Source organism: Homo sapiens, chromosome 17 (genome assembly GCF_000001405.40).
Source record: "Homo sapiens chromosome 17, GRCh38.p14 Primary Assembly".
Lineage (NCBI taxonomy): Eukaryota > Metazoa > Chordata > Mammalia > Primates > Hominidae > Homo > Homo sapiens.
The window spans coordinates 17,936,106-17,961,323 of record NC_000017.11 but is presented as its reverse complement, the minus strand read 5'-3'; the positions used below and the strand labels follow the sequence as shown (position 1 = coordinate 17,961,323).

The 25,218-nt window shown below is 45.3% G+C and overlaps 1 protein-coding gene across 17 annotated transcripts in view, besides 2 other annotated features; it reads left to right on the top strand.

Annotated features, from left to right (window-relative positions):
• Positions 1 to 25,218, top strand: part of TOM1L2 (target of myb1 like 2 membrane trafficking protein) — a 128,890-nt gene that overhangs the window by 11,077 nt on the left and 92,595 nt on the right. The gene's annotated exons all lie outside the window — the stretch shown is intronic.
• Positions 2,981 to 3,030: a silencer, noted in NCBI's record as "silent region_8262". NCBI's record gives its function as "represses an Ori minimal core promoter by ATAC-STARR-seq in GM12878 lymphoblastoid cells {active_cell/tissue: GM12878}" and the evidence as "EXISTENCE:reporter gene assay evidence [ECO:0000049][PMID:35858748]".
• Positions 22,305 to 22,394: an enhancer, noted in NCBI's record as "active region_11818". NCBI's record gives its function as "activates an Ori minimal core promoter by ATAC-STARR-seq in GM12878 lymphoblastoid cells {active_cell/tissue: GM12878}" and the evidence as "EXISTENCE:reporter gene assay evidence [ECO:0000049][PMID:35858748]".

Here is a 25,218-nt window from a genome sequence, read left to right as displayed (position 1 = left end):
GGCCTCCCAAAGTGTTGGGATTATAGGACGTGAACCCCTGCACTTGGTTCATTTTTTTTTCTTTATAGTAGCCATCCTAATGGGTATGAATTGGTGTCTCATTGTGGTTTTGATTTGCATTTTCTTCATGATTAGTGATATTGAGCATCTTTTCATGTGCTTGTTGGCCATTTGTATGTCTTCTTTGGAGAAATGTCTGTTCAAGTCCTGTGCCTAGTTTTTAATTGGGTTTTGTTGTTGTTCGGTTTTAGGAGTTCTCTATATATTCTGAATATTAATCTCTTATCAGACATGTGATTTACAAATATTTTCTCCCATTCTGTGGGTTGCCTTTTTATACTCTGTTTATAGTGTCCTTTAATGCACAAAAGTTTTAAGTCCAGTTTCTCTACTTTTTCTTTTGTTGCTTGTACCTTCCGTGTCATGCCCTTATCTTTCAGTCGAATCTAACACAATGCCTTAAAGATAAGGATGGTGCTATTAGTAGCAGTCAGAATGTCTCTCCTTACTAGGTACTGGGTTATGTAGTTTACATGCATTCTTTTCTTTAATTCCCACAACAATTCTGTAAGGCAGGTATTATCACTCTATTTTGTTTTTTTGGAGACAGACTCTCACTGTGTCACCCAGGCCTGTCAGTCATATTTTAAAAGACTAGGAAACTAAGGCTTAGAAGTGAAATAACCAGCTGGGCTCACTGGCTCATGCCTGTAATACTAGTATTCTGGGCAGCCAAGATGGGAGGATCACTTGAGCTCAGGAGTTCGAGACCAGTCTGGGCAACATGGCGAAATTCCGTCTCTACAAAAAAATACAAAAATTAGCTGGGCATGGTAGCATGCACCTGTAGTCCCAGCTACTTGGGAGGAGGCTGAGGTGGGAAGATGGCATGAGCCCAGGAGGCAGAGGTTGCTGTGAGCTGAGATTGTGCCACTACACTCCAGTCTGGTTGACAGAGCCAGAGACCCTGTCTCAGAAAAAAAAAAGTCAAGTACCTTCCTCAAGGTCTGTGGATTATCAGTGGCAGAGCAGGGATTTGAACCCAGGTCTGTGGGCAGCAGAGCTGGTGCTCTTAACCACTAAACCAGAGAGCTTAGTATTGTTTGTGGGATTGAGTGAATGAATGCCTGAATGAACTTGGTAGCTGAAAAATCTAGTAATAGTTGTCTTAAATCCAGACCTACACTAGTATTGTAAATTATGTACTCAGTTTCAGTTTTCCTCCTGTAACTCAGTGTACAAGTGTCCTCTTCATACCAGTAAGTTTTCTGAGAATTTCCTCAAAGGACGTGCTTTCTTATATCCTCGCTGAGGCACTTCTTAGTAATGGAAGACCTGTGTATTTTACTTTCTCTTTGGATTTGCCTTAGAACTACAGTGATGGATGGAGGAAAAGACGGAATTTAAACACATGCTAAATTGTCTAACTGACCAACTTGCTTTTAAGACATCACCAGCTGCTCTTTTAATCATTAATGAAGCATAAGCCTTGTAGTCTGGGAGGCATGTCAAAAATTCTGTTTCGGGTTTTGGTTTAAAATTGAGTGTAATGGAGAGAGACTGATTCTTTCATCTCAGAGAATTGGGCTGTCTTTGAGAGCTGGGGACAAGAACTGGGTCCTGTAATAGGACACTGTGGAGTTTTTTTTGCTGCTCCTCAAAGGAGAAATCACACAGATTTCTGGCACGTCATTAGTCGAAATAGGAAATGAGGCCTGAGAAATGATGTTGCTTGGGGTTTGAAAGCTGAATTTGCTAGTGGCTTCCAGAGAGCGAGAGTCTCCTATGCTAACTGTGGAAATTCTTAAACCAGCAATTCAAAGAATCAGAAGACTCTAGTTGAAAGGGTCTTAGTGGTATTTGGTCCAACCCTCTAATTTTTGCAGGTTGTGGAAACAAGGCCAGAGAGGGTGTCTGTGATGTATGACATTTCTGACAGCAAATGTGCAGGGATTTTTTTGTTGTTTTTGTCTTTTTTCTGATATCAAATGGATGTCCTACAATTGAATTCAGTTTTGACACTAACTACCTGGAGCTGGTGCGGACCCCAGAGGTTAAGGGCTCAGTCCCACAAGACTGCCCCCACTTCACATGCCAGTCACAAGTTCCTGGTTACCATCTGTACTTCCCATGACCGGCTATAAATTGGGGATTCCCGTGATGCCTTCCCCATGTTTGATCATATGCTTGAATGGCTCACAAAATTCAGGACAACACTTTACTTACATTTTCGTGACAAAGGATATAACTCAGCAACAGCCAAATGGAAGAGATTCATCGGGCAAGGTGTGGGGAAGGGGCAGAGAACTTCTGTGCCAGCCTCCCAGCACCTTTATGTGTTCAACTTGGAAGTTCTTTGAACCCCATCGTTTAGGGGTATTAATGGAGGTTTCATTATGTGGGCATGAGTGATTAAATCTGGCCATTGGTGAATAACTCAACCTCTAGTCCCTCTCCCCTTTCCGGAGGTAAGGTGGGATGAGGGTACGGCTAAAAGTTCCAACACTGAAATGTACCTTGGTCTTTCTGGCTAGGGAGCCCCAATCTCATTAGCATACAAAAGACACTTATCTCTCAGGAGATTCCAGGGGTTTTGGGTGAGGTGTGCCAGGAACCTGGACAAAGACCAAATATATATTTCTTACTGTATCACAGTAGGAGACTTGCCAAGGTCCCACAGTGACTCAGTTTTATGACTCTTACATGTCTTCCTATTTAGCTCACAGCCTCTTGCCAGTCATTTAGATATTTGTATATGGGCAGGGAGGGTAAGCATGGGGTAGTAAGTCTGTCATTTTAATGGAGTGGAAATTTTCAACTCAGCCTCATGAAGGTAAATACATTTTATTGTTTGAAAGTTAGTCTCCTGTTTTTGACTGGGCTTGGTTGGGGGTACTATTTAGCTCTAGATTTGATGGTTTAAATGAAATTAGCTCATAAAATCACCAATGGTCTTCTGTTTTATCTACTTTTTCTGGCACTGGTCCAGACCAGAGAAACCAATCCCAGGCTAGGACTGGGAAAGTCTGGGACTGTTCACTGCTCTGCTGCTGATTTGCTGTGAGACTTTGGGTGGGGCACATCCTGTCAGTTACTCATTTGAAGAGCATGGTTTGTTCGTTCGTTTGTTTTGAAGAACAGAGGTTGAACAAGCTTTCCAAGTTCATTTCAGACCTAAAGCTTAAGGCCCAAATCAAAGTGGCTTTTAGTTTTTCTTTTCTTTTTTTTTTTTTTGAGACAGAGTCTTGCTCTGTTGCCCAGGCTGGAGTGCAGTGGCACAATCTCGACTTACTGCAAGCTCCACCTCCTGGGTTCACACCATTCTCCTGCCTCAGCCTGCTGAATAGCTAGGACTACAGGCGCCCACCACCACGCCCGGCTAATTTTTTGTATTTTTAGTAGAGACGGGGTTTCACCGTGTTAGCCAGGATGGTCTTGATCTCCGGACCTCATGATCCGCCCACCTCGGCCTGGGATTACAGTCGTGAGCCACCACGCCTGGCCTAGTTTTTCTTAAGACTTACAGCTTTCCATAAGAGACTGTACATACCTATGAATCATATGTGTGTGTACGTGTGTGTGTGTATAGCCTGTGATATGTAAGTATATACACACATGTAAATACATGCACACAGGTAAATATATACATATACATATTTTATATATATTTTATATAAATATGTTATACTTTATATATATTTTGTGTAAATGTATATATATTTGCCTTCTAATGATTTTCACTGAGGTAGTTTACTTGTAGTAAAATGCATACATTTTGTTATAATTTTGACACATGCTTACATGTTGTCACCTTACCCCATCAAGATACGCACTGTCAACCTCACCCCAGAAAGCTCCCTCAGGTCCCTTCCCAGTTAATCCTCTCCTCCAACACACTGCAGAGGGAACCACTGATCTTTTATCTCTTCTAGAAGTTCATGAGTGGAGTCATACAGTATATGCTCTTTTGTGTTGAATCCCAGTGATATTTTGAAGAAGAATCATATGCATTGTTTTCTCTACCTGCCATTTTGAAAGGCTGTATAAGGGAGTGGTGGCTCATGCCTGTAATCCCAGCACTTTGGGAGGCCAAGGCAGGAGGATTGCTTGAGGCCAAAAATTTGAGGCCAGCCTGGGCAACATAGCAAGACCCTGTTTCTACAAAAAATTTAAAAATTAGCTGGGTGTGGTAGTGCTACTCCCTGTAGTCCTAGCTACTTTGGAGGCTGAGGCAGGAGGATTGCTTGAGCCCAGGAGGTGGAGACTGCAGCGAGCTATGATTGTGCCACTGTACTCTTGAGAGGTGACAGCGTGCTGGCAGCCGTTGCTCGCTCTCAGGCGCCTCCTCAGCCCCGATGCCTTCTCTGGCTGTGCTTGAGGAGCCCTTCAGCCCGCCGCTGCACTGTGAGAACCCCTCCCTGGGCTGGCCGAGGCCGGAGCCGCCTCCCTCAGCTTGCAGGGAGATGTGGAGGGAGAGGCGCGGGCGGGAACCGGGCTGCGCGTGGCGCTTGCGGGCCAGCGCGAGTTCTGGGTGGGCGTGAGCTCAGCGGGCCCAGCACCGCAGGCCCCGGGCAGTGAGGGGCTTAGCATCCAGGCCAGCAGCTGCGGAGGGTGTGCCATTCCCCCAGCAGTGCCGGCCCGCCAGTGCTGTGCTGGAATTCTCGCCGGGTCTCAGCGGTCTCCCTGCGGGGCAGGACTCTGGACCTGCAGCTCACCATGCCTGAGCCTCCCTGCCGTGGGCTCCTATGCGGCCCGAACCTCCCCAAGGAGCGCAAACCCCTGCTCCACTGCGCCCGGTCCCATCGACCGCCCAAGGGCTGAGGAGTGCAGGCGCACTGCCAGGGACTGGCAGGCAGCTCCACCTGTGACCCAGGTGTGGGATCCACTGGGTGAAGCCAGCTGGGTTTCTGAGTCTAGTGAGGACTTAGAGAACCTTTATGTCTAGCTAAGGGATTGTAAATACACCAATCAGCACTCTGTGTCTAGCTCAAGGTTTGTAAATGCACCAATCAGCACTCTGTATCTAGTTAATCTGGTGGGGACTTGGAGAATCTTTGTGTCTAGCTCAGGGATTGTAAACGCACCAATCAGCACCCTGTCAAAATAGGCCAATCAGGTCTCTGTAAAACAGACCAATCAGTTCTCTGTAAAATGGACCAATCAGCAGGATGTGGGTGGGGCCAGAGGCAGTAGTGGTAACCCACTTGGGTCCTTTTTCGTGCGGGGGAGGCTTTGTTCTTTTGCTCTTTGAAACAAATGTTGCTGCTTACTCCATGAGTCCACTGCTTTTATGAGCTGTAACACTGGCTGCAAAGGTCTGCAGTTTTTCTCTTGAGGCTGGCGCAGACCACGAACCCATTGGGAGGAATGAACAATTCCAGGCGGTAGGAGCGAACAACTTCAGACACGCTGCCTTAAGAGCTGTAACACTCACCGCGAAGGTCTGCAGCTTCACTCTTGAAGCCAGCGAGACTACGAACCCACCAGGAGGAAGAAACTCAGAACACAGCTGAACATCAGAAGGAACAAACCCCAGACACGCCGCCTTTAAGAACTGTAAAACTAACTGCGAGGGTCTATGGCTTCATTCTTGAAGTCAGTGAGACCAAGAACCCACCAATTCTGGACACACTCTAGCCTGGGTGGCAGAGCAAGACTCCATCTCTTAAAAAACAACAAAGAAGAGGCTGGGCGCAGTGGCTTATGCCTGTAATCCCAGCACTTTGGGAGTCCGAGGCAGGAGGATCACGAGGTCAGGAGATCAAGACTGTCCTGGCCAATATGGTGAAACCCTGTCTCTGCTAAAAATACAAAAAATTTATCTGGGCTTGGTGGCGTGTGCCTGTAATCCCAGCTACGTGGGAGATGGAGGCTGGAGAATCGCTTGAACCCGGGAGGCAGAGATTGAGGTGAGCAGAGATGTCGTCACTGTACTCCAGCCTGGCGACAGAGCAAGTCTCTTGTCTCAAAAACAAAAAAAAAAAAAAAAAAAAAAAAAGGAATTGTGTGGTCTGGGGTCCTGCCGTTCCCACTAGCTGCTGTGGTTTGAGAAGTGAGGGCCCTCTGCCGGTGACCACCATATTGTCTGCTGAGTATGATAGAAGAGGTGGAGAGAACAGCTTGATTTCCAGATTCTAGGTTGAGTTTGTTTCTATAATTGTTGGTGTCACAGTCTTCTCACTTGTCAGCTGGGCAAATCAGATCCACCAGCAGATGAGAGACTAACTATGACACCCGAAAATGTCACTTGTGATGGCACATTTCTGACAAGGTGCCCATGAGATGCAATCATTTCAATTCCATAAATGCTTTTTGAACATAAAGACATTGCTCTAGGGTGAGCAACAGCAAAAGAAACGGAGGTCAGGAAGGGGCTGAGCAAATGGATGGAGGAGCCACACTGCCATGGAGGTTCTGGGACCTCTCTTGGCCTTAGAGCGTAGTATCTGTGTGAGAGTTTTTTGTTTGTTTTCATAATGTGTTTAGCATGTGTTTGCTCTTAGTTTTCTCCTCCTCTAACTTAGTCCAGCCCTTGGTCATGCCTGGACCATTGCTTGAGGCTGTAAGTTAGACCAGTTCAATACCACCTAGCTGGTCTCCTCCTTCATATTCTCCCTCCCTTTCTACACTCTGGAACCTTCCAAAACTTTGGACAACTCTACCAGAAAATTTCTGGAACTCCCCATCTCCTTTAGAATGATTTATAAATAGGGCCAGGCGCGGTGGCTCACACTTGTAATCCCAGCACTTTGGGAGGCCAAGGTGGGTGGGTCATCTGAGGTCAGTAGTTCGAGACTAGCCTGGCCAACATGGCGAAACCCCGTCTCTACTAAAAATACAAAAATTAGCAGGACATGGTGGTGGGTTCCTGTAATCCCAGCTACCAGAGAGGCTGAGACAGGAGAATCATTTGAATCTGGGAGGCTGAGGTTGCAGTGAGCCAAGATTGCACCATTGCACTCTAGCCTGGGTGTCAAAAGCGAAGCTCCATCACAAAAAAAAAAAAAAAAAGAATGATTTATAAATGTAGCCTGGTGTTCAAGGCCTTCACTGACTGGGCTTCTTCCCGTCTTTTCTCTTACCAAGGTCTCTACTTACTTTGCCGTTCCCACTCCCTCCTTTTCTGTGCTCAGCATGGCCTTTGGCCCTGCAAAGCATCCCTTCTCTCTTGCTCATGGTTTAGACCAATATACCCTTTGAAACCTAACCTAGATCTTCCCACTGCCACAAAGCTGGCCCAGAAGCCTCTGAACTGCAGTGGCACTTATAACTTATATGTATTTAATAATTATCTGACTATTTGAATGCACTATGTTGAGCCGGTGGGATTTTGAATTCAAAGATGAACAATGCTTGCCCTGTCCTATGCCTGTCCTGAGAGTGGCTAACTGTACAGGGTACAAGGGAAGGCATCCTTGTGTGACTTGGAAGAAGAGGCAAGGCAATGAACATGCATAGAGCACCTGCTTGTGCAGGGGACTGTGCTGTGTTCTTTCAAGATTTTATCTCATTTAACCCTCTTGACTTTGTGAGATGGCATTTTTACCTGTGTTGTGACTTTCTCAGAATCACACAACCAACAGGATTGAAACCCAGTGAGGCCCACTACACACCCTATGTGCTCCCCCCACTCATGTGTCTTCATGTGTGTTGGGCTGGTGGGGGCAGGTCAGTGAGGTCAGCTGTGGGCTGTTTCTACACCCCATCCATGTGCATGCTGTGGGGCACAGGTTTCCTCCTGGGTTAGGGGCCAGGTGATGCTTAAGGCTCTGCCCCCATGGTGGTCCCTATTTGGGATCTGCCTCTTAAACAGTTGGTGACGCCTTTTGCAGGGACAGTGGTTCTCTGTCCTCCTGAGGTGGGGAAAGTGATCCGGGGCACTCCTGCTTGTCTCTAGCACCTTACAGGAATACTGCAGCAACCAAACTGCTGCTTCCTGATTAATTCATGCTCAAGGACCAGAATGACTCTCTGCAGTCTTTTGTTTTTATGGTGGTAAAATACACATAACATAACATTTACCTTTATTTATTTATATTTTTTTGAGACAGAGTCTCGCTCTGTTGCCCAGGCTGGAGTGCAGTGACAAGATTTCGGCTCACTGCAACCTCTGCCTCCCCAGTTCAAGCAGTTCTCCTGCCTCAGCCTCCTAAGTAGCTGGGATTACAGGTGTGACCACCACGCCTGGCTAATTTTTGTATTTTTTTTGTAGAGATGGGGTTTCGCCATGTTGGCCAGGCGGTCTCAAACTCCTGGCCTCAAGTGATCTGCCCACCTCAGCCTCCCAAATGAAGGGGTGGGGACCAGTCTGTTGGGCATGGCGTCCCAGAAGCCCCATTGCAGCCCTATTGTGGTGGGCAGGCTGCTTTTGAGAATGTGTATACACCTTTTCAACCTTCCTGTTCTGTCAGGGCAGCGGAGGAGGAAGTGTGCCTCAGGTGGCTAAGGGGCCTTCCTGCAGCAGGACCAGCATTCCATGTTGCTTCTTACTCCAGTGTTCCTCTACCCCAGAGGCTGCCTTCTCTTTGGTCTTTTGTGCATACTGGGCATCCTAAAGCTGTTTGTTTGCCCTTCAGTGAATGGGACTGACACAGAGACCCATTTTTGTTTTTAAAAATTATAAAATATAGGCTGGGTGTGGTGGCTCACACCTGTAATCCCAGCACTTTGGGAGGCTGAGGCTGGAGGATCTCCTGAGCCCAGGAGTTTGAGACCAGCCTAGGCAACACAGTAAGACCTTGTTGCTACAAAGAATATTTAAAAACTTAGCCAGGCGTGGCAGCACGCACCTGTGGTCCCAGCTCCTCAGGAGGCTGAGGCAGGAGGATTGCTTGAGCCTGGGAAGGTCGAGGCTGCAGTGAGGTAAGATCACACCACTGCACTCCAGCCTGGGAACAGAGTGAAATCCTGTCTCAAAAAAAAAAAAAAAAAAAAAAAAAAAAAAAAAGAAAATAAAGAAGCACTTACTGTATAAAGAGTGAGCCCTTAATTTCTCAGCCCAACTAGGCTCCCCAGAGGTAATCAGCTGCTTAGTGTGTGGCGCATGTTCCATGAAGTTTCTTTTGTATAAATGGGATCCTACTGTAGGCTTCATTTTACAGCTCGCTTTTGTTTTGCCATGTCATTGTACATTTTGGAGACCTTTCCATGGCAACATAATTAGATCTATCTCATTGTGCAAGCATTCCACAGAATGGATGTACAGTTTATATAGCCATCCTCCTCCTGGTGGGCAGTGGCTTTCTTGTCCTTATAAGTAATACTGGAACAGCATATCTTTGTGCATTTCTATATTTGTGTAGTTTAGATTCCTAGGGACAAAATGCTCATGTCAGACTATAAGAGTATTGGAAATTTTGATGGAGACTGCCAAATTGCCCTCTAAATGAGCCCCTCACCAACAGAGCCCGAGTGACTGTTTGCCTTGCACTCTCATCAGTACTGGGCATCTTTTAATTTCTACACATCTGAGGAGGGGAAAAGGCATTTGGTTGTTGGTCCACATTGTCTAATGGAAAACCACCTCTAAGATGTGTGGATGAAAGTTGCCTTCGGCTAACTTCCTTCCTAAGCACCACGTCCCCATGGAAATGCAGAGGTAGAGAATGCCTGCTGGTGGAGCTGCCCAGACTCGTTCCTCCTGCATCCTTGGCCTCCCCTTGCCCTGTAAAAAGGCTATGCAAGACCTTTACGTTTCTTGAAAGGTTTTTTGCTAAAAACCCTTTGGTCACCATTCTTCAGTTAATTTTCATATGGTTTTTATTTATTTGCCTTACCTGTCTGCTACTCCTGAGGAAACCAAATTTTTCTGTTGCCACTCCAGGGCAGCAACTTTTTATGCACAAACTCAAATTCCCTGCATTTTACTGGTGACACATGAGGCTTGAGAATCTACAGTGTCTACCCAAGTACTAAATGTTCCTCCTTTTCATCTCTAACCCAGTAAGACAAAGTGAGATCAGGCATTTTGTATATTCTTTAATTCTAGTCAGAACAGAGAAGTATGATTCTGTTTCCTCTAAATCTTATGAACGTTCTCAGAGACTGGATCTCAGATCTGGTCCCTGCCAGAGTTAGGAAAGGGCTGGGTGGGCGAGGGAACTGCCGTCTACTGGGTGCTGGTCATTTTCCTTGCAGCCCCGCAAGGGAGTGGGTATTATCATCTAGGATTTATGGATGAGGCTGATTGACATCCCAGAAGCCTCTCAGGGAGTAGGTAGCAGAACCAAAACTTGAACAGGTCTGCCCCACACTAAAGCCCTTACCTGGCTTGTTAGGTTGGCTCCAGGTAGATCCCTGGAGACATCCTGCCAGGGATCTTCCCCCTAGTGGGGAAGATGAAACAGCACCCCCTTCCTGGTAGGTCCTCCCTGCCCATAGGCCACCAGAAAGAAGAAACTGCAGTGTCTGATCTTTCTTTTCCCTCTGCACCAAGGCTCTGGCCTAGGTTTTCCCAGATCTTGCAGTTTCCATTCTCCTGGGGACTACCTTCATGGTTTTCCCTTATCTATGAGCCACCTATGCTGTCACAGATTTTCTGTGTATTGACTAACTTTTTTTACTTGGGCACATTTTCTTTTAAAAGGCTTCTATCACTCTCAATTGAAAAGTAGTTTCACTTGGCATTAATCTAAAGTAACATAAAAATTAAAATAAATAAATACATTGAAATCAAAGCAAGATTCTTCTAGCAGGATCCTGTTGTCTGCCTAAGGCTCCCCGCCAAGACTCACTCTCATTAGAATGGGAGCATACAAAGTATTGGAACAGCGACCAGGTGCAGTGCCATGCCACTTAAGCCCAGGAGCTTGAGGCCGGCCTTGGTAAGATAGCATGACCCTGTCTCTAAAAAAAAAAAAAAGAGAGGCTAGGCATAGTGACTCACGCCTGTAATACCAGCATTTTGGGAGGCTAAGGCAGGCAGATCACTTTAGGTCAGGAGTTCGAGACAAGCGCGGCCAACTTGGTAAAACCCTGTCTCTACTAAAAATTCAAAAAAAGGAGCCGGGTATAGTGGTGCATTCCAGTAATCCCAGCTACTCGGAAGACTGAGGCACAAGAATTGTTTGAGCCCAGGAGGTGGAGGTTGCAGTGAGCCAAGAGCGCACCACTGCACTCCAGCCTGGGCGACAGAGTGATACGCCATCTCAAAAAATAAAAATAGGCCTGGTGTGGTGACTCACACCTGTAATCCCAGCACTTTGGGAGGCCGAGGCGGGCAGATCACGAGGTCAGGAGATCGAGAAACATGGTGAAACCCCATCTCTACTAAAATACAAAAAAAAATTAGCCAGGCATGGTGGTGGGCGCCTGTAGTCCCAGCTACTCGGGAGGCTGAGGCGGGAGAATGGTGTGAACCCGGGAGGCGGAGCTTGCAGTGAGTTGAGATTGTGCCACTGCACTCTAGCCTGGGTGACAGAGCAAGACTCTGTCTCAAAAAAATAAATAAATAAAATTTAAAAAATAAAAATAAAAAATAGAGAGAGAGAACAGATTCAGTGTTATAACATTGCCCTGGCCCACCTAAACTTGCCCACTGGTGATCTGCAGGCCACTCTCTGAGGAGTGCTCTTCTGCCTTCTGGCCACTGGACTGTGCACCTTTTCGGGACACACCACCAGCCTTCTGGCCGTTGCTTCTGTCCTTCCTTCCCCAGGATGGCTGTCTCATCTGCTTCTCGCTTATGTGGGAGATTCTGCTCCTGCAAGGTGAGGCTTGGATGCCACACTTACTGAGATATGTCCTCTGACCAGAGAGCCACTGTCTTCACCCCAGGTGCCCTGATGACTCCCTGTTAACTTTTTTCATATACCCACCCTGGCACAGGTCAGATTGTAGCATCGGAGTGGGGTGGTATTTATCCTGTAAGACTCTAGCTGCTGGAAGGGGCACTTTGTAACATTTATTCTCCTGACCCAGTTGGGCCTCCTTGGGGGCTGAGACAGGCTCTTGTCAGAGATGAAGCCTTGTGATGTGGCATTGTCTGCACTGGGCCCTATGCTCTATGCTCTGCCGTGCTAGATGTTCAGTAATGTCGTGGATGGTGAGCTGGGTTTTCCTGGCACGAGTTCCACACTGCTGTTCCCCATTGGAGAACATCACCTAGCACTGGGAAAAGATGAAGGTGGAGACCCTTAATGGCAGGTGGCAAGAATAAATATATTTGGGGTAAAAGGCTCCTGTGTGAGAAACGCATGGCATGAAACCCACATGGAGGGTCCCTGAGAACACTCAATTAAGGTGTCCCTGACCTGCTTTCACCTCATGGCTCCAGCTCCCCATTCTCTGGTCTATGGGACAGTCACTCTGTATGTGGCCCCTTCTGGCATTTTGACCCCTGCTTGGCACTCTTAACTTTTTGGCTTTGCCCAATACTTACTCTGAGCAGCCCTGGCTCTGTACTCCAACTCTTTCCCCCCACCCCTCACAGGGTCAGCACAGATCATGGGGGTCTTTGATCCATCAGGCAATAGGAGGGAGGCTGGGTGTGGAGAGTGTGGGGTTGATAGGGGGAAGCAAGCCCTTCCTAGGACCCCTGCCTTGCTCTGGGCACTCCGCTGATCTCACTCTTAGCAAGAGGGGGTGTGAACTGAAGGCAGAGCCACAGGGCTGCTCAGCAAGGCTGTGCTCTGGGGCTGCTTTCACTCTAAGAAAGGGCCACCTTTTTTTTTTGAGGTGAAGTCTCACTCTGTCACCCAGGCTGGAGTTCAGTGGCATGGTCCCAGCTCACTGCAACCTCCACCTCCCGGGTTCAAGTCATTCTCCTGCCTTAGCCTCCCGAGTAGCTGGGATTACAGACGTGCACCACCATACCTGGCTGATTTTTGTTTTGTATTTTTAGTAGAGACGGGGTTTCACCATGTTGGCCAAGCTGGTCTCAAACCTGACCTCAAGTGATCTGCCTGCCTTGGCCTCCCAAAGTGCTGTGATTACAGGTGTGAGCCACCACACCTGGCCAAGGGGGCACATTTTTTGATTGCACAGAAGCTCCATATGGGCTAGCAGCAGCTCTGGGGGGCTATTGCCCTCCCCAGCTGTACTTGACACTCTCTCCAAGGTAGGGACTAGGGCGTATTTATCTTGGTATCAAGATTATCCAGTACAGCAAGTCTCAGTGAAAGGTTGATAAACAGAATTTAGTACACTTGGTCTTTCAAAATGAAACTATTTGACTAAGGAACTTAATGAAAGACAAACATTGTATCATGATACAGTCATTTAATGTCTCTGAGCCTTAGTTTCCTCAATTATGACTAATATATATCTCTTAGAATTGTTTAATGTTCAAATTGGATAATGCATGTAAAGCACTTGACTCATTAATTTTCTTTTCCTCCATCAAAAGTATTTCTGAAATGAGTGGATTCTGAATTTGGACTGTAACCAGGTATATTCTGGAAAGAGTATATATTTAAAAAAAAATAGAACAAAGATTTTTCTTTATTTTAACAGTGTGACCCCTCATGCTACCAAAAGAAATTAAAAATGAATACAACTTGTTGTACTTTCTGGAAAGAACAAAATCTTCAAAATCAGACTTCACTTTGAGTCCCAGCTCCAGTAACCTCTTTGAGCCTGAGCTTCCTCATCTGTAAAATGAGGATAGAAGTCCTATTTTTAAAAGTATGTGTCGGGGCATTAAATGAGACGTTTGCTAGGGCTACCATAACAAAATACCACAGACTGGAAGGCTTAACCGAACTTATTTTCTCATAGTTCTGGAGGCTGAAAATCCAAGATCAAGCTGCAGGTTTGGCTTCTTCAGAAGCCTCTTTCCGTGGCTTGCCAACAGCTACTGTCTTGCTGTGTCCTCACATGGTCATTCCTCTGTGCATGCATGATTGGATTAGGGCCCCATTTTAACTTAATCACTTCTTTAAAGACCCTGTCTCCAAATTCAATCAGTCATATTGTGAGGTACTGGTGCTTAGGGCTTCAACATGAGAACTTGAGGATGGCACAATTTAGCCTACAATATTTGCAAAACAGAAAGCTCACTGGCCTGGGCACGGTGGCTCATGTCTATAATCCCAGCACTTTGGGAGGCTGAGGCAGCAGGATCACTTGAGCCCAGGAGTTCAAGACCAGCATGGGCAATATAGTGAGACCCCCCCACCGTATAAAACTGAAAAGCTCACTGGATGGTAGTAGCTCTTCCTATTTAAATCCCAGTTCTAGTGTTCTTTCCTGTTCCTTGCTGAAGATTGTATTTACTGTGTGGGATTGTCCTGAGGGCTGGTATAACTAGTTAGTACTTTCCTAACCCTGAGGCACTTCTGTTAAAATTAGATCAACACTTAGGCTGGCACGGTGGCGTACGCCTGTAATCCCAGCACTTTGGGAGGCTGAGGAGGGCTGATCACTTGAGGTCAGGAGCTCGAGACCAGCCTGGCCAACGTGGTAAAACTCCATTTCTACTAAAAATACAAAAATTAGCCAGGCGTGGTGGCACATCCCTGTAGTCCCAGCTGCTTGGGAGGCTGAGGCAGGAGAATGGCTTGAACCCAGGAGGCAGAGGTTGCAGTGAGCCAAGATTGTGCCATTGCGCTCCAGCCTGGGCGATAGAGTGAGACTCTGTCTTAAAAAAAAAAATTAGATCAATACTTAGACCAATATAATGAGCTGATGTTTAGAGAGCAAAACAGGCCTCCTGCAGCCTCTGCACCCATGAGCCTAGCTTAGGGTCAGTAACTTGTGGTTTAGCAAAAAACAGACTTAACTTTATAATGTTAGCAAAGGATTAAGTTTTAAATATATCAGAATCGAGATGGGAAAGAAACCTAACAAAGTGCTAATAAAAAATAGAATTGGGTAAAAATATTATGTTTCATGAAAGAAGCCAGACACAAACAGCTATATATTGTATGATTGCATTTATAAGAAATGTTCAGAATAGACACATCTATATAGAGAAAAGGCAGATTAGTGGTTGTAGGAGGCTGGGAGAGGGGGAATGGGAAGTGACTGCTAACAGGTACAGGATTTATTTTTAGGATGATGAATATATTCTAGAGTTACATAGTGGTGATGGTTGCACAACTCTGTGAATATATGTACTAATGCCACTGAATTGTACACTTCAAGAGGGTAGATTTCATGGTATGTAAATTATATCTCAATAAAGCTCTTATACAAAATTGAATTACGGCAGGGTGCGGTGGTTTATTCCTATAATCCCAGCACTTTCGGAGGCTGAGGCAGGCAGATTGCTGGAGCCCAGGGGTTGGAGACCAGCCTGGTCTCCAACATGATGAAACCCCGTCTTACCAAAAAATATGAAAAATTTAGCCAGGCAGGCGTGATGGTGCACCCCAGTAGTCCCAGCTACTCATGAGGCTGAGGTGGGAGGATCACCTGAGCCCGGGAGGTTGAGACTGCAGTGAGCCATGATTGTGCCACTGCACTCCAGCCTGGGTGACACTGAGACCTTGTCTCAAAAATAGACATCTTTTTTAAAAAATAAAAAAAGAAAAAAGATTGAATTAGGGTGGTGGCAGACTTATGTGACTAGCTTTTCTTCTTTTTTCTTCCAGTTTTCTATAATTACTTTTTCTCTTTTTTTAAATGGAAAGAGTCCTACATTTCATTAAGATACTTAAGATCCAGTTTTATGTGGTGCTGAATTATAGCTATGCAGAGAAAGTCTCCGTGAAATATTAAGGTCACTTTTGCTCACAAAATATCAATGATTAACTAAGATGTATAGGCTGTAAATAGAGAGAAGATGGGTATGTATGTGATAAGGAAGTTTAATGAAGTTTCATCCTATGTAATGTGGGTCTCCCTAAGAGAGGGTCTATCTTTTCATCAATAGCAGATCTGTGGTCTGTATTGTCTGATGAAGTCCACCTGGTATTGCACATTGAAATCCATGTTTGTTTTGATGTATAAGTGTTCTCTCAGAGAACAGCTACTTCCCAGTTTGACACTGTTTTCAATCCAGTGCCAATGCCAAGAGATTTCTGAGCCATATATATATTTTTAATGTAAGTTAAATAATTCATCAAGGAATGAGAGAGAGAGAGAGAGAGAGTGTGTGTGTGTGTGTGTGTGTGTATGTGTGTGTGTGGTGAAACATTTGGCTCTTTCCACCTAATTTTTAACCTTGTTGGTCCTACTGGCAATCTGTTTCTTAGCTAATGACTGCATAAAATCATCTCTGAAAAGAAAGCTAAAGACTTTTGCATTACCTTTTGCCAGTTTCTGCTTTAAATCCACCCTTTGGTATTTGCAAAGGTCAGATGAGCTATTTTGGTGTCCACGGCCCTGATTAATGGGAAATCCTACATTTCCATTGGCCCCGGAGGATGAAGGATTAGTGTGGCGGCGGCAGTGCGGGCAGCATCTGCTGCAATGTCAGGAGTACGGTGTTGGGAATTGCAGGAGCATCCGGCCTATGAAAAATGGAGGAGGAGGGGAGCTCCACTAGTACTAGCCCCAGATGAGTTTTTCTCCATTGCCATCAGGCAGACATCTCTGGGAGCATTTGTTCTCCTCTGTTAGGCCTTGTCGCTAAGCATTTAATATGGAGAGCACAAGTGCGGACCTCCTGTTTCCCCGCCGGAAGGCTTCCATAGCTCCCTGTTAGTCGGCATGTTTGTGTTCAGCTTTTCACCTCTCCTTGTAGGAGACGTTGGTTTTATACTATGTTAAATAAAAATCATTGTGTTAGCTCATAGATTTTCACAAGAGAAGCAGGTGCCTGGTGCTTTGGGGAGAATAACTCCAAATATGGGAATCTCTTTCCCCACCCAAGAGCAGATGGTCTGCGTTAGTTTGTCTTGTGACCTTTCTTTGCTTCTAAGACACCAAATCTCTGATCCCACGGATCATAAATATTCTTTAGGTTTGCAGCCATGGAGGTGAAGGGAGCGTCAAGCTGTCGGTGTCATTTTCCATTTGTCTGGAACCTTTCAAAGAAACTGTTACAGCATTTTTAGGCACTGAATTAGCCTCCTGCAGCCGTGAGCTTACAGACTCATGAAGGGCACCGCAGCAAGGCTGCCTCAGCCAAGGTCAGGAAGGAGCCCTCTGCTCAGCATCCCTTTGCTCAGCATCCTGCCGTCCTCACCTGTCCACTCACCAGGCAGCCTCTCACGGCAGCCACTTTGTGCCAGGCACCATGATGGCTTGCACAACCCCTGCCTGCCTATCCGGGGGCTGCATTATTTATGTCGCTAGTAGTGTTAATAAGCACCTTGTATTGATCACCTTGTCTGCTGCCTCTCCCTGCCCTAGAGCCCACCTTCTCATCCAGAGGAAGACCCTCAAGTGCAGTGTGGGGGTGCTCTGATAATGTAGCAGCATGCACTGAGAGGGGCAGAGTAAGGACTGCCTTCACAAAGGAGGTGACATCTGAGCTGCTCTCTGGTAGGAGTTTACCTGGAGGGGGAGGGATGTGCAAGGAAGAGAGAACATTGGAGAAAAGGGGCCTGTATGTTTGTGGCAGCTAGACCTTGGGCTCTGGATGTTCACGTGGGGCCCTGGCAAGGGGTAGGAAGTGGAAGTCAGGGCTGGTTAGAGATAGTCACCCTGAGGATCAGGTTGAGGAGTGTAGACCTTATCTGAAGTGAAGTGGGGAGATCTGGGAGGTTTTTAATACTTAGGGGGAAGATGAGATCAGATTTTCTGTTTGGTGCAGACCACCTGGGGCAGTGTGGAGTGTAGACTATGGAAAGAGAGAGTGGAGGAAGTGATAACAATGAGGAGGCTGCAGCAGCAATCCCCAAGAGAGATCTGGAGGCAGCTCAGCCTTCGGGCTCCCCTTTCCATGCATTTGCACTGGCTGCTCCTTCTCTCCTTTGCCTTCACATTCCTACATTCTCTTTTGGATCATCCACATTCTCTCCATACCCAAGTGTTGTTACCTTGCTGAGGCCTTTTCTGCACTCTCCAGGCAGCAGGATTCAGCCCTCTGTCGCACCCCAGCAGCAGGCTGGTCTGCCACTATCTGACCCCTATAGAGACTGCTTTGCCTTCCTAACTCCCTAGCTCTAATTAGCAGCACTTTGGACCCATATCAAGATGGAAAGAAGAAAGGGTTTTTTAAAGTGACTGTTACAGTGGATTGGAGAGGACTCAGAATTTGGGGACAGAACATACCCCAGTTTGAGACCTGCTTCTGCCTTATGCTTTCTCCAGGAGATGAAGTATTTTTTTATTTTTGCTTTTTCTTATCATAGAAAATTTCAAGCATAGATATGAATTGGGAGAACAGTGTAATGAACCTCTGTGTACCCATGACTCAGCTTCTAAGCATCTGGCCAATCCAATCTTGTTTCATCTAATCATCCTCCCCTCCCACTCTGCATTATTTTGAAGCAGATTCCAGGCATCATATTACTTTATAATAATTACTTTATAAATACTGAAATAGATAAAGGGCTCTAAAAGATAAACAGCTTTTTGTTTACTTCTAACAGTCTTCATGTCTCTGAGCCCCAAGTTCTCATCTGTAAAATGGAATGGTGATGGCCCATCCCAGGGCTGTCGCGACTAAAGCTGGCAAAAGCCTTTCCTGGAATTCTGACTGCTTCCTTTTCTATACTAACTACCGTGCTGATGTGACTGCTTATAGTACCATTGTAATGACAATAAGAACAGTCTTTGGAGCAGACAAACCCAAGTCACATTCTCATCCCAACACTGTATCTTTTGGGGCAAATTACTTACTCTGAGCCTACTAAGTAGCCTCATTTTTTAAAATGGGGGACATAATACCTCCCTCATAGGGTTGTTTTGAGATTTAAAAGGGAAGGTGTACATATCGGCCCATACATATCGGCCCATAATAAGATCTTAATACTTAGTAACTAGTATTATAAATGTCCTTTAAATTGATATGATTTTCTGGTTAGTATAGTAATCCTGCGAAGTATATAGTTTTTAATCCCCATTTTACATATGATATGATTGAGGGTTAAAGCCAGGATTAATGAACTTGCCTGAGATCTTGGGGCTAATACATTACAGAGCCAGGAGTTTGAGCCCAGGTCTGCCTGACCCCAAGGCCCCCATCCTTATTACTGCTATTTATTAATGGAACCTTGCAATGTGGCCTTGTGAAAAAGAACATGCTGATCTTGGGTCAGGCAGATCAGGGTCGTCTGGTCCTTACTTTTGTCTGCTGTTTTCAGCTAGTGCTGGTTTTTTATAAGCTGGTGAACTGGATTACAAATTTTCCTTAGACTCCTTTGTCCATATCTTCTGCCTTCTTTCTGCCTCTCGTTTTAGGAGCTGTTAGTTCTCATAAGCCCCTGTAATGGAGAGAAGTAGAGAGAACAGAACATTCAAATAAAAAGTTCATGCACATCAGCTCTTTTGTGCTACGTTTTTGTGGGAAAGTGGCTGAGACTTTTGTATTTTAGAGATGAGGTCTTGCTGTGTTGTCCAGGTTGGACTTGACCTTCTGGCCTCAAGGGATCCTTCCACCTTCCCTCCCTAGTAGCAGGGACTATAGGTGCATGCCACTGCGCCTGGCTTAGAGGCTGAAACTCTTTAAGGCAAAATGAGGTTCATAGGTTATCTGTGGATTTTTGTTTTTCAGTCAGCCGAGTTAGTGAGGCATGGACAGGGCTTATGTATCCATTTCCACTGTAAAATTGCTAAGAATGGATCATTGGAAGATAATAAATGTGGCAGAGCCAGAAATCAAACCCAGGCCTGACCAACTCACTGCCTGGCTGGTTCCATTGTTCCACTCTGCCTTTAGGGACGGGCAGGTGAGGGACCCACAGGGAAGACTTAGACTGCCCGTGGATATCTCCTCGTGGCTTGGAATCCCTATTCTAAAAGATCTGATCTAGTTCTGGCTTAATGGGAGTCAGCGTAATGATGATTCTCAGCTTTTTGTCTAGCTTTTTCACATATGTTTTGTTTTCCTGCTGCCATGAAGTTTAAACTTGTTTAAAACCAAGATTTTAAACAAGGAAGCCAAGCATATAAGGGAGTCGTCCATAGTCATCCGAGGGCAGAGCCAGGACACAAGTGCCATCCTTGGACTGCGACCAGTCCTCTTCCTGCACTTCCCTCTGGAAAGCCCACTTCCTGCAAAGCCCTCTGGAATTGCTCAGCAGTAGTGCCCCAACCATCATGTAAGGAAAAGAATTTCGAGTTGGAACAGGAACTTCAGGGGGCCAGTAGCCCCTCCCCAAAGTTCTCAGAGAAGGGGCAGTTAGCAAACGTAGAAGCCTTTCTTACTGAGATGACCCTTCCACCTGTTCACTGGAGAAATGGTCTCCAGTAGCTCTGTTCTGGGGTGCTATCTCTGGACAGCCATCTTCAGAAGTGTAGTTTCCCCTAAGAAAACACTAGAACAGATTTTAGCAGAAGATTGAGAATCCCAATGGTACAAATCTTACAAGTATGATTTGCAAGCATCATAGAGAAGCCTCCTTTTTGGGTAGGAATGCAAAACCAATCACCTCATTGCTCGAATGACAGTCTGGCTTTCTTGGGATCCAGCCAAGAAAACAATTTATGAGACTGACCCACACACTTAACTAGCTAAAGCTTTGGGCTGTAATCCAGAATCCTTATTATGGAAAGCAGAGTTAAAACTGTTCCCTTTGAAACCCTGTGGCTATTTATTTGAATTAGCGAGGTCACCCCAATGACAGCTGTGGAGACCAGCCTTTAATTAGGAAAAGAATTTGCCTTGAACTTCATCGGAATGGCATTGCTGAGGGTCTTGAGTGCTTTTCTTCCTTCATTCTTTCAGGCTTACCTTATTCCTGCTCTTTGTTCAGGAGTCACAGCTCATTTCTTCCCTGAAAGCCTGACTTCTCCATGCTCTGCACCCACAGGACTCTCTCCTGGCTATGGCATGCCAGAGTCCATCCCTGAGCTGGGTGGGGGCAGTGCTGACTCTGAAATTCAAATTCTCCCTCATATTGGCAGCATGACTTTTTGGACAAGTTATCATACTTTTCTGAGCCTCATCTTCCTCATCTGTAAAATGATTCTAATAGTATTTATTGCATAGGGTTGTATAAAGCTACCAATTATTGATTACTCTTGCTATATGCCAGCCACTCTTATCAGTGCTTGACCCGTATAAGCTCATCTCATCTGAGTAACAACCCTATGCAGCAGAACTCTTCTTCCTTTTTTTTTTTTTTTTTTTTTTTTTTGAGATAGAGTCTTGCTCTGTCGCCCAGCCTGGAATGCAGAGGCGTGATCTCAGCTCACTGCGACCTCCGCCTCCTGGGTTCAAGTGATTCTCATGCTTCAGCCTCTCAGGCAGCTGGGATTACAGGCACCCGCCACCACACCTGGCTAGTTTTTGTATTTTTAGTAGAGATGAGGTTTCACCATGTTGGCCAGGCTGGTCTTGAACTCCTGACCTCAAGTGATCCTCCCGACTTGGCCTCCCAGAGTGCTAGGATTTACAGGCATGAGCCACCACACCTGGCCCAAAGCAGAATTCTTAACACTTCCATTTTATAGATGAGGAAGTAGAGGCTACTACAGAGCCTCCTACATAATGGGGACTCAACAAATGTGTTTATTGAGTTTGAATCTTTCCCTTACTTATACTTTCATTACATTTATAATCTCTGCCCTATGTTTAACTTTTCTCTAAGAATATTGAATGTGTCAATTTTATCTTCAAATTTACTTTTTAAACTTTGTGTTATAGAAAATTTTAAACATGCAAAAGTAGAATAGTATAATGAACTTCTACAAACCCTTTATAGAACTTCAACAATTATCAACTCATGACCTATTAGATTTTGTCAATATGCATACCCTGCCCATATTATTTTGAAGTAAGTCCCCCAAATCATATTATTTCAGCATATATTTCAATATGTATCTCTAAAAGAAAATGACTCATTTTAGAAACAATCACAATACTGTGATTGTACTTTTAAAATGTAATTTCCTATCATGTATCCAACTAGTGTTCAAAATTTTTAGTTGTCTCATAATGTCATATATTTTTTAAGACTGAATAGAATCTGCTAAGGTCTATCACAAGTACAGTGAGGTGACTGTGGGCAGTGGCTGGGCACAGCCCATCTGGGAGGCCTCCCATCAGATGAAAGTTAAGGTTCTTTTCAACTCTAAAAGCCAGCTGCCAACTTTTTGCCTGGTATTCGTCTCAACACCAAAAGTTAGGCACTGTTAGGGAGAGAAAGTCACACTAGAGAGGGCTGGCCTCTCTTTGCAAAGGTTTAATTCAGATGGAAGATACTTCAGTAATGGGTAGAAACAAATTACTTAGAGGCTGTCTGTATATCAAGGTTCTTCATTTTATCCTTTTCATCCCATTACTGAGTAGCTGCATTATAACTTATTGGTGAAACACTTGGGTTCAGAGGTCAGACAGAATGGAATTCTAGTCCAGGTGCCACTGCTTGCTGTGTGTGTGTCTGGGCAAGTCATTTAGCTTCTCTGGGCGGCCCCACCCCAGTGTATAGAAAGTGAGAATTATAAGTTTCGACCTAGACCGGGTGTGGTGGCTAATGCTTATAATCCCAGTACTTTAGGAGGCCAAGGTGGGGCGGTCACTTTAGCAAGACCTCTTTACAAAATATTAAAAAAAAAAAAAAACCCTTTCAACCTTTGCCTCATGGTGAGGATTAAATAAAGTAATGAGTTAAGGCATGTAGGATATTATAAGTCAGTAAAGGTTAGGTAGTATTGGTTTGTGACTATCTGCCTGCTGGGTTGCGTCCCTGTGCATTTATGAGTATGTGGGTAGAAGTGGAATCTGGAGAGATTTGTAACCTCATGCCTATCTTGAGTCTCATTGGCTTTTTCCAGAGCACGTCGTCACTCCATTCTCTAGTGGAGGATTGAGTGGCTCCTGTATTCCTCCCCAGTGCCTCTCCTGGTAGTCATTTATTATATAGAACATCCTAGTCAGAGCGGGACTGTTGTCAGCCTTATGTTACCAGTGAAGAAGGCAGCTTCAGGCCACTGCAGTGAAATCAAAGGCACCAAGGGTCTAAGAGGTAGAAGGAGCTCTCTGGGTTGCTGAGGGCAAGGTCTTAGGCACAGCAGGCACCCCTTCTAGAACGTCCTGCCAGGTGGCTACCCGCCCAGACTTGTATACCTCCAGTAATGGAAAACTCATTATCTCATAGGCAGCACATCCCACGTTGGTCTCTTCTCCAGTTAAATGAAAATGACTTGCTTAATTGGATCTAACTGCCTCCCTCTCATTTCTACCTGTAGTCCTGGGTCCTCTCCTCTTCCCATTGCACCACGCTGGGTGAGAGGGAGTAACACAGAGGGAGGTCTCTGCTCTTGGTGGCATTGTGTTCTGGAGAGAGCCCTCCAAAGCAGAGCCACCGTATGGCAAAATCCCAGTCAAGCCTTTGTGTGGACATCAGTGGAGACCTTTCTGTGAGTGGCAGGAATGGAGTGTGGTTCTCTATTAGGCAGTGTCAGATGCAGGTGGACTGGTGAGACATGAAGGAGACCAATGCGGGAGCTGTCTTTAAGCTTAAGAGCTATGATTTGGAGCCCAGTGTGGAGTGCTAACCTTTCCACATGCCCCCCTCCACTGTGCAGCTCTCTCAAATGTACTTTGTTATGCTCTTGCATGAGTGGTGTTCACCTCTGCATTATTTAGTGTCATTTATCCTTGCACTTTCTCATTCCTACAGCCTGCAGGAAAAGAGACTGTAGCATGTGGGCTGTGTGTCATTGCTGAGCAGTTTGTCAGCCTTAGAAAGCTGCTCATGAGCTGAGAGCACATGATACCAGCAGGTGACGCAAAGCCTGCATGACTTGGGGTCCTCAATCACTGGGAAAGGCCCTCCCCCACTGGTGACACAAAAAGGCAGGAAAGAACCTTTGTTTCATCTGGTTCATATGTGACAGCCTTCATTTGCTACAGATCTTTGGCCCTCACCATTCTTACCTGTGAAAGTCCCCTAATCCGAGCCTGATGGGACCCAGGTGTGAGGCATTGATCATGGCTGGTTATTCATCAGGGGTGGATATTGGCACACAGGCTACCATTTCCTTATTGGTTGACTCTGATCAAAGATAAAAATAAAAATGTCGGTGTTCCTTGAATAGGATTACAGTAGAATGCTTGTTACAAAACCGGAGGAGGGAATTCATTAGGCTTTTATGATCATCACTTCTGTGGGAGGAAGGGTTCATGTTGAATAGCCTGCCAGATAACTCTGGAATATGTACCACTGGAGTAGGGACAATTTGCCAGGCATTGCTCTCCTTTATCCTTTGGGGCTGCAGGGACAGATGGCCTCCAGCCTTCTTTCTGCTCCCCTGGCATTTGTCACAACATGCTATGGGTCAGGAGACCCTAAGCAGAAAGATCGTGGGAGGTCAGCACGGCAGGGTACAAGAGGCCAGTTCAACTCTGAGCCCTCATGGTATGAGGCAGCTTTAGAACAATGTGGAAGAATCAAAGAGGTTGAACTTAGACTGTTAAAAAGCCTTTTTCCCCTGAAAATTTGAAAGCAGAAAGAAATGTAGAGAAGTAGAGAAAAATTTTCATTATCCCACTACACAAAGGTTACTACTATAAACATTTTGGTGTATTTTCTTCCTGTATTATTAAAACATTTTTCTTTACAGAGATAATGCTGTAAGTACAATTTTGTGCCCTGTTTTTCCCACTTAATATAGAATAATCATTTTTAATTAAAAAACAGCTTATAAATATCATTATTAAATGACTACATAATATTCCCTTATGTGGATGAATACATTGCATTTCATGTTACCATTCCTCTAATGTTGGACATTTAGATTATTTCTTTTCTTTTTTTCCTTGCTATTATAATTAATGCAGTGATAAACATCTTAGGGCTTATATCTTTGCATTTCAGATTATTTACATATAATAAATTCCTTTAAATAGAATTACCATGTCAAAGGGTATGCTTGTTTTTAAGTTTCTTATTCTCCAAAAAATTTATATTGCTTTACATATGCTTAGTTTTTATGGAGACCCCACCTAACCTGGCCCAGGTTGGGGCAGGGGCACTAGTGTGAGGAACAGGGTTGGGGAAAACTTCCTGGAAGAAGGGTTTTAGGCCACATCCTGAAGGTGTTAAATGTTAACAAGAGTAGAAGCAGATAGGATGGTGGGGAGAGACTGTCCTAGATATCCAGGCAGAGAGAACAGAATGTGTGAAAACCCAGAGCTGCTGAAGGGCACACGCCTGGGGGAGCTAAGGCCAGAGGCCGAAGGGAGGGTGGAGAGAGATGGGCTGCAGAGGAAGACAGGGC